Source organism: Homo sapiens, chromosome 14 (assembly GCF_000001405.40).
Source record: "Homo sapiens chromosome 14, GRCh38.p14 Primary Assembly".
Classification (NCBI taxonomy): domain Eukaryota; kingdom Metazoa; phylum Chordata; class Mammalia; order Primates; family Hominidae; genus Homo; species Homo sapiens.
The window spans coordinates 38,531,869-38,541,893 of record NC_000014.9 but is presented as its reverse complement, the minus strand read 5'-3'; the positions used below and the strand labels follow the sequence as shown (position 1 = coordinate 38,541,893).

The 10,025-nt window shown below is 37.4% G+C and overlaps 1 annotated feature.

Moving 5' to 3' along the window:
* Positions 4,750-5,251: an enhancer, noted in NCBI's record as "NANOG hESC enhancer chr14:39005847-39006348 (GRCh37/hg19 assembly coordinates)". NCBI's record gives its function as "activates a minimal SCP1, AML or CMV promoter by ChIP-STARR-seq in naive H9 embryonic stem cells {active_cell/tissue: H9 hESC(naive)}" and the evidence as "EXISTENCE:reporter gene assay evidence [ECO:0000049][PMID:30033119]".

Sequence of the window (10,025 nt, the reverse complement as noted above, 5' to 3'; positions counted from 1 at the left end):
ACTTTATTTAACCATCACATCTATAATGAAATTTCTTTATTGTCTTAGCCATCCTTCTCTGAACACATTCCAAATGGCCACGGTCTGTCCTAAAATGAAGTGTCAGAATACAACTCAACCCTCTAGAGATGGTGTGACCACTGTGAAAAGAGCAGTGCTGTTTTCCTTGGTCTGGATACACATGCAAAGTAAATTTTTTAATAGGAAGCATAACTTATTGACTGATATTGAGCTTTTAGTCAATCAAAACAGCCTGATTTTTAAATATAAATTATTACAAAGGGACTTCCTTTTATACCTATGAATTGATTTTGCTGAATCTAAATGCATGTGTAATATATATTATTTTGGTGACAGATACCCTAAAAGCTCTGACTTGGCCACTACACAGTTTTGTTATATGCATATAACAAAATTGCACATATACCTTATAAATTTTTTAAAATACAGAAAAGAAACACACAAAACAAGCAGTATGTATGGTTTAGGTATTTTCAATTATTTCCCTCCTATGAGCAGAGATTTCCTACATCCAAAACATGTTTCATATTAAAGGGTTTTCCTTATATTGCAGAAATATTCTGAAGTCAGTTGATAGAAATTAGTTGGTAAAACAGTGACTTAGACAAGTTTATAAACTGAAATTGCTAAGTTACTCTGAAAATCAGTAGTCACCCTAAACTAAAAAAGTAATATCTCAGGACAGATGGCTTTAAAAAGAGCAGCATAGAATGCATGGAAGAAAATCTCTAGAACGTGTTCAATTAAAAAGAATCCAGATGAGTCCAGCAAAGTCAGATTCCTAAAGGTTATCACTACTTGTCTGTTGTCTCCACATAATACCAAAAGAGCGGCCGGGCATGGTGGCTCACGACTGTAATCCCAGCACTTTGGGAGGACGAGGCGGGAGGATCACTTGAGGCCAGGAGTTTGAGACCAGCCTGGCCAACATGGTGAAACCCCGTTTCAACTAAAAATACAAAAAAATTAGCTGGGTGTGGTGCACGTGCCTGTAATCCCAGCTGCTCGGGAGGCTGAGGCAGGAGAATTGCTTGAACCCAGGAGGCAAAGGTTGCAGTGAACTGAGATTGCACCACTGCACTCCAGCCTGGGTGACAGAGTGAGACTCTGTCTCAAACAAACAAACAAAAAAAACGGCTGGATGAGTTTTTGCCAAATATGAAGGAAAGCCATACAATAAACATTAAAAACATTGCAATTGTTTGACTTAAATGAGAGACTGAAGAGTGTGCCAGAATTAACTTTTGGAAAAATTAGCAGGGGCAGGGTGGAAGATATAGAGAGTTCAGGGGTTTCAGAGGCCTGTAACTAACAAGGAGAAGAGACATTATTATTTTCTTTTTCACAGACAGGTATAATACAGTCTAGCTAAGGGGATGTTTTGCTGCCAATTGAGACAGACACACTGTATCTACTAAAAGTTATTGACAAAGAAAACAAACAGTGAGCCCTGTATTGATTATTCGATTCTGTTTCTGGACTTTTTCCCCTGTCCATGAGGTTCAAAATGTAAAGCTAGACCTAAATGTATATACTTTCTAATGGTAAAATCACATTGAGACAATAACAGATCAAATAAATCATTATTAAGGATGTAACAGCTTGAACCCAGACAATTAAAAAAACTCAACATTATAGCCCTTTGCCTTTCAATGAGTTTTGGTGATAGCTTGGCTTTGGAGAATATCAATTTTACTGAACCTCTTTTCTTTAAAATATTAGGTTGGTACAAATGTAATTGCTTTGCCATTAAAGAAATGGGAAAAACCACAATTACTTTTGTATCAACCTAATATTTGCAGGTCCTAAAGAAAATTTGTTTTACTCTGAAAATCAAGAAGTCAAAAAGGCAGACAGTAATACTGAATGACCTTTTACAGGGGCAGCCCTATGTAGTGGGTCCAGGACAAAGTAGCATGGGTTCATGCATTTGTACTCTGGACATAGAATGACAAATGTAATAACCAAAAAACTTTGTTACTAAATTGAGAAATATTTCAACCCTACATTAATTATTACAATTACAGGAAATTACTGAAATGCCAACATTATTTTTTAATTATTTGTATTAAACTTTATTTAAAAGTGATTAATGATTCTTTTCATCATGGCAGGTAATATAGCTAGCGTATATGTGATGAGATGCATACAATTCTTATTTTTTAGTAAAAGTCTACCTATGTTCCATTAACTTTTATAGCATCTAAAATTTAAAGGGAACTCTCCAGTTATTGATACATAGCTAAATAAATTGTGAACTTTCCTTGATGCATAAGATAAATTCTGGTGCAGAGTGAGCAAACAAGGTAAGCAGTACCTCTAATCAAATTAATAATACTTATTCTATTTGCTGTGCAGTGTAAGGATAACTCTTATCTTCCACTTTATTTCTCATTTTCTGTGATTTGAGAAATTACCATCAGATATTCCATATCCTGTGTAATTTGACTCATTGGAACCCAGGGACTTGAGCTTCATTATTATCTCTCAAACATAATAGGTGGAAAGAGCATTAAGCCAGGAGTCAGGATGCCAGAGTTCTGTCCAAATATTGTCAAGGACTTACTTATGACTTTGAGCAAGGCACCTAAAATATTGGTTCCTTATCTGTTATGAAAAACATAAAACTGTATGATTTTTTGAGGCTCCTTCTAATATCAAAATTCTACCTCAGTTTTTGGTTTTCCTTTAACTGTATTTATTCTTTCCAGTTTGACAATTATTCTTTGTGATGCTGTAAAGGGAAGCAAAATAGTTTAATATCTCTATTTCATTTCTGTCATCAGTTAAGTTTTACATCTTTTTAAGATTTAGGCCAAGCTCTACTTATTTTTTTCTCTTTGCTCTAAGCTTAGCTTTAACAAACAAGAAAGGTCTTTTTGGTGGCTTTCTGATTTTTTTTTTGCTAAGCTTTGCTTGCAAGGTTTATGAATCAGACAGAACCAGGGCTTGAATCGCAGCTCTGACTTATGCTTGTTGTGTGAAGTAGGCAAGTCTATCAATTTATCTAAAATTCAATTTTCTCATTTATTAAACTGTGATAATAGTAGAGTCTGCTTCATGGCATTGTTGTGGGGATTACATGAAAAATGACATGAAGTGCTTAGTGCAAATGCCTTGGCACAAAGAAAGCCCTAAAGAAATGTTTTTCTTATTTTTACATTGTGCTGCCATCATCATCATTATCATCATTGTCATTATTACTCTGGAATTTATTTTTGAAAACGATTACTTTTTTATCACTTTCTATTAAAAATCAATAACTATGATATCTCATACATGTAGATAATTTTATAGTTTACAAGGTATTTCTACATGCCAAAGCTGGTCTTTGCAATAATGCTCTGAGTTGAAAAATATTCATATCTCCACACCACAAGAGAGTCTCAGAGAGGTGTAGTAACTTGTCCATGGGACTAACACGGAGAGCTTGGTCTCCTTGTTTACTTCCTGTGATGGTTAATATTGATTGTCAACTCGATTGGATTGAAGGATGCAAAGCATTGTTCCTGGGTGTGTCTGTGAGGGTGGTGCCAAAGGAGATTAACATTTGAGTCAGTGGACTGGGAGAGGCAGACTCACCCTCAATCTGGGTGGGCACAGTCTAATCAGTTGCCAGTGCAGCTAGGATAAAAGCAGGCAGAAGAACGTGGAAGGACTTGACTTGCTGAGTCTTCCATTCCTCATCTTCCTCCCCTGCTGGATGCTTCCTGCCTTTGAACATCGGACTCCAAGTTCTTCAGCTTTGGGACTCTTGGGCTTACACCAGTGCTTTGTCAGGGGCTCTTGGGCCTTCGGCCACAGACTGAAGGCTGCACTGTTGGCTCCCCTACTTTTGAGGTTTTGGGACTCGGACTGGCTTCCTTGCTCCTCAGCTTGCAGACGGCCTATTGTGGGACTTCACCTTGTGATCGTGTGAGTCAATACTCCTTAATAAACTACCCTTCATATGTATGTCTATCCTTTTATTTTGCCATTGCTTTTAATGGCAAAAACAGCAATTACTTTTGCATCAACCTATAGTTCTGTCCCTCTAGAGAACTCTGATTAATTAACTTCCCCAATCCCGTAGTGCATAGTACAGGACACACATCAGGTGGTTTTGTGACAGCATTGTCTGTGATGAGCATCAGCACTAGAAAAATAAAAGCTTCCTTAGAAAAAACTTTATGTTGTGAGAGAATACTGGTATTTTATTATAGAGTGTACATTTGTTGAAATAGAAAAAATATAAGTTTTTTTTTCTTCTGTTACATTGGCTCATAAGTAGAGTTTTTTTTCTTCAAAATTTACTTTTAATTTTGAATAGCATACATATGATACATATTAAAAAGATAGTGTCCAATGCGAGATTCTAGGAGGTTCAGGAGGGTTCCTGAGGTAATAGTTGCGGAGGGGAGTCGTGGTCATAGGGCATGAAAAAGGCCTCAAATTGTGCCTGGGTACATTTGCTGGAGAAGGACACAGACAGACTGGCATGGAAAGTCACACACACTCTCATTTGTTGCACTTCTCTCCTTATTAATCTTCCTCAAATAAAGAGGAAAACAATTGTTTTTGCCTTCTAGGGCACATTTCTGCAAGAAAGTTTGCACCAATTTGAAGAAAAATGGAAAAAGAAGGACAATGCAATGAATTTTTCATAATGCTCCTTTTATGCTAAGATTTAAAAAAAATTCTTAGTTAATAACTTCCTGTTTTGTTGTTGTTGTTGTTTAAAAATGATCTTTTCCTGAAATGATGACAGTTTGCTAACTAGATTTGCTAAAATCTGGTAAATATGGATTGGCTACCAACATTCTTTGACAATTTTATTAGTTCTTGGAATCCAAAACACTGAGGCCTGAGACATCCAAGTGGAGACACAGCTAAGGCCGGGATTATCTGTGTGGTGTTGGAGGCCCTTCGCAAGTGCTTAACAGAGCCCCTCCACTGGCTGCTGCACCCTCTGAGTAAACATCCATCAGACTGAGTGAATGGAATGCAATTTAGATGAGTTCCTTCTGAAAAGCTGTCAGAGAGACTGTGAAATGTGACTACTTTGATTGACTCTCCTACTTTCTCTCTCCCCAAATAAGCCAGATTGGCAGGATTCAAAGGAGACATAAAATTAGTTATTATTGGCTGATTCAGCAATAAAGCCAGGAAGCAAGATCTGCTAAGTGGAAAGTATTCTGGGACTAGGAATGAGAAATTATGATTATAAGGCAAGGCTTAACTAGCTGAGGAAGTTTCTCCATGCCGGCAGCTGATAAACTGCTTTGTAACTGGATAAAATGTTGGTCTTAGTCAGGCTCCATTGCCACAGACACTTTCAGACAGATAGCCATGTGGGTGAGCAGACAGCATTCAGCCAGGACTCATGCATGCACCCGTGGTACAAGAATTTGCCAAATAGTTCCTGAGGCATCAGCTATTAGAGAATAATTCAATGATAATTTATCCTTAATAACACAGTACAACTTCCATTACATATTTATTTCAGACTTAAAGTCAATTAAATTATCTGAAAATGATTTCTGGGTTCATCTCTTTCATTTCCTTATTGCACTGCAGCTATGACAGCCTAAACCTCTCATCCATCAGGTTTATTCCAAAGTCCTACAGAATGAACAATTGGACATTTTTCTTAATACCTTGATTATCAAAAACTTTTAGATGAACTGATTTGGGGGTATCTGTCTCAATTTTTTCTGCTATAATTGGGCCCTTTTGCATTATTGGTGGGAACTTAGACCTGTTTCTCCTCCTAATAACTGGAACTGAGAAAGATGAGGTGGAGAGAAGGTTTCAGGTATTCCCAAATGGAAGCAACTTGGTGTCTAGACTATCCCACTCCATTGCAAATGGTTGGCATGTAGCCTCCCACCCCATCACCTCATAATAAAGCCAGGCAGTACATCAAGGCCTCAGACAAAAAGCCCATTAGGCATCTCTGTGATTAAGCTGATTAGCTAGACGTCATTAGGAATTTTAAGTCCAATATCAGTGGTGAATCAGATCCAATTTGCATAAACTACAAGGTGCTTCATTAAGGCTAATCATTTTCCTATGTCCTTTGGTAATAAATCATCCTTCTATGGGGCTCATTTAGATTGAGCTTGAGAATTTTACCTTCAGAATTCTTCAACATGGTTAAGATCACTTTAGCTGTGGTCTTTGGCCTCATTTGCTGGGGTAATGCCTGTTGGGAGCCCCACCTCAGTGTTGCATCCTTGAAAAAGCATCCTTGAAATCTAAACTATGATTCATTAGAGTCTATGTGCCAATGGCCAGGACCCATAAGATAATGAAGTATGCATCTTGTAAGACACTAGTAGAGCAAGTCATACTTGTTAAAACTGATAAAGTACTCCTGCCAAATAGTTCCTTGTGTTGAGCCAACTGATCATTAAATAATTTTACATACCCCTCTTGAAAATGAGTCTATTTAAATCTGGGAAAATTTATCAGGTTTTAGAATCCAGAGCTCTCATATGAATTGTTTTTTCTTTACAGTCACTTGTGAGAATGATGAGATTCTGCTTGTTTGACCCTATTATTCTTATTTTGGGTCATTTGCATAATCTGTTCCCTGTGCTTGGAATATCCTACCTACCCTCCCCACAGTTTCTTGTGCTTGAGGCCACTGAAGGATTTTTCACACTGCCATATAACTTCCTTTTTACTTATGTATCTCTCCTCCTCCTTGAAAACAAATATTCTGTTCCTAGCACATAGTAGATAATAAATGTGAATTTTATAAAATGTGAATTATGAGATGGTGGCTCTAATGGAATATTACATAGCCTACTCGAAGGAGGATGTTGATTTCTATATATTGACATGTAAAAGTGTCCATATATTTTTTTAACATAGTGAATGAAAAACAAGATGAAAAACATGCACAGGATGATCCTAGTTTTGTAAAGAAAAGAAAAGAAAAAAAGAAAAAGGTGCTTATATATATTCATAGAAAAAGTCAAAAATATAAATATTCAGGGTAAAATCTGTGTTATAAAGGTATGGCTTTTACTTTTGGCTTTATCAGTTTCTACATTTTGATTTGTTAGATTAAATCTGTATTGCTGTTATAACTTAAAAGCCCAATAAATAATTTTTTAAACCACGAGACTATAGATTTCATTTGCAAATTATTATTAACTTAAAATTAGTTTCTTATGGCTGCTGTAACAAATTACTATGAACTGGGGCCAGGCACAGTGGCTCACACCTGTAATCGCAGTACTTTGGGAGGCCGAGGTGGGTGGATCACTTGAGGTCAGGAGTTCGAGACCAGCCTGGCCAACATGACAAAACCCCATCTCTACTAAAAATATAAAAATTAGCCAGGTGTGGTGGTGCATGCCTGTAATACCAGCTGCTTGGGAGGCTGAGGCATGAGAATTGCTTGAACCCAAGAGGCGGAGGTTGCAGTGAGCTGAGATCACACCACTCCACTCCAACCTGGGCTACAGAGTGAGACTCTGTCTCAACATAAATAAATAAATAAATAAATAAATAACCAAATTACTGCAAACTGGATGGTTTAAAAATACAGCAATTTATTCTTCTATAGTTCTCGAGGCTGAAAGTCTGAAAAGAAGATTTCAGTAGAGCCATACTCCCTCCAAAGGCCCTAGGAAAGAATCTTCCTCTGCTTTTTCTAGCCTCTGGTGATGGATGGCAATCCTTGGCATTCCTTAGCTTGCAATGCATCAATCCAGTCTCTGCCTTGGTCTTCATATGGTTTCTTCTCTGTGTCTTTACATAGTCTTCTTAAAGGGACATCAGTCATTGGATTTAGGGTCTACCGTAATCCAGTATAACTTTGCTATAACATAACTAGTTACATATACAAAGACACTATTTCCAAAGGTCACATTCTGAGCTTCTGGATGGACGTGAATTTTGAGGGGACACTCTTCGTTCCAGTACAGACATTACTAAAGAACGCTTACAAACAAGGGTCAGTATCGACAAGCTTTATGTGTCAAAAAGTCTTTTCTGAAGGCTGCCATCTCAGGAGTATCTCACCATTACAGTTCATTGTACCCATTGGACAGGCATAGGATGAAAGCATGGGATGATATTATTGCTGCTACAGGTTTGAAGAACTTACCAAGCTTCAGGTCATCTCTCCTCCAGGCTTCGACCTGAATGCACTTTACTTACGTTACCCCAGCTTTGAGATTAAGCAGCTTGTAGTTTCTCTTCTAGTCTCTAGCTTTACTTTTGGTGTGAGATTTTGTTTGTTAATAACAAGAGTTTAGGGAAACTTTTTTTTCTTTAATCTAGGTTTTTGTTGTTGTTATACTTTAAATTCTGGGATACATGTGCAGAATGTGCAGGTTTGTTACATAGGTATACACGTGCCATGGTGGTTTGCTGCACCCATCAACCCTTGATCTACATTAGGTATTTCTCCTAATGGTATTCCTCCCGTAGTCCCCCACCCCCCAGCAGGCCCTCGTGTGTGATGTTCCCCTTAGGAACACTTTTAATTTCTTTATTTCTTATATTCACTCCACAAATGTGATCAGCACATATTATCTGCAAGGATAGAGCGTATCCAAATACTCTTTGTAAAGCAAGATTTGATCTTATGTTTACCAGGCGGGAGAACTGGATATCATTAAAAATCCTATATGGCAAAGCATTTGTGAACCAGTGCAGAAGGAAAGATTGAGGTCAATAGTTTACAATGTTACTAACACTGTATCTTTTCCATTGGTAAGCTCCTTCCAAGAATCTGGCTCTTAAATATATCAGTTAAACCACAGTCTTTACGGTAGAAAATTTATTTGTAACAATTTACTGTTTAGCTTTTCCTTAAGCCTCAAATCAGTTATCTATACTTACTGTTAATGCTATTTGCACAAAGTACTCTGTGCAATGCAAATTTCTGTCCCTTCTCCCAAAGGGCTAAAAAAATCACATGGTGAGAGAAAGAAAATGCAAGAGACATTCTGAATTTAATTCATGAGGTTTTCTTTTTTTCTGTCACATATGTAGTATTTGTATCAGAGTCAGAATTTAGAGCTAAGTTTGAACATTCAACAGATAAAAGAAAATGGTTTTATGTGGCAAACCTACTGCTCCAGAAAACAAGTAATTAAAGGATCTCTTAAAATAGCAGCCATAAATTGACATTCCATGGGAAGCCATGATTTCATTACTGTTTTTTTTTTTTTAGTGAGGCTCTTCCCTGGGCACTATTCTGAGAAATGGAATCTGTTAGCAGAATGAGCATATCACCCAAGTACTCCACATCCTCCTCTACAGAAAGCGTTAGTGCCTTTCTGGAAAACGCGGGATAATTTTATCATGTCATGTGGAGGTATTACCTTGCTATTATCTTTGTTTGGAGATTAGTATTATTTAAGAAGATATGTAAGGGTGCCATGTTGATGAGGGGTAGACTTGTAATGGTTAATAATTTTTTGTGTCAACTTGGCTAGGCATGGAAAAGAGATGGTTGGTCAAACATTCTTCTAGATGTTTCTGTAAACCTTTTTTTTTTTTAAAGATGAGATTAACATTTATATCAGTAGACTTTGAGAAAAGCAGATTACCCTTCATAATGTAAGTAGGCCTCACCCAATCATTTGAAGACCTTAATAAAAAAAAAAATAAAACCTGACTGCTCTGGAAGAGGAAGTTCTGCCAGCATATTGCCTTCAAGACTTGAATTGCAACATTGACTCATCCCTGCATGTCCAGCCTACTGGTCTGTCGTGCAGATTTTGAACTTGCCAGACACCACAGTGTAATACACCAATTATTTAATCACACATCCTCTCTCCCTATATCCTATTGGTTCTGTTTCCCTGGGGAACCCTGACCAATACAGATTTTAAGAGGGACACAGCCTATAGAGGCATAATAGACTTCCTGCTGAGTTTGAGACCTCAAGTCATGGTAGGCACTGATTCCCTATCATTGCTATTTCCATGTTTGGTCAAGGCATTACACTGGAGATGCAGGCTGTGTTGTTTCTTTGGCTAAGAAAAGAAGCTTCTACT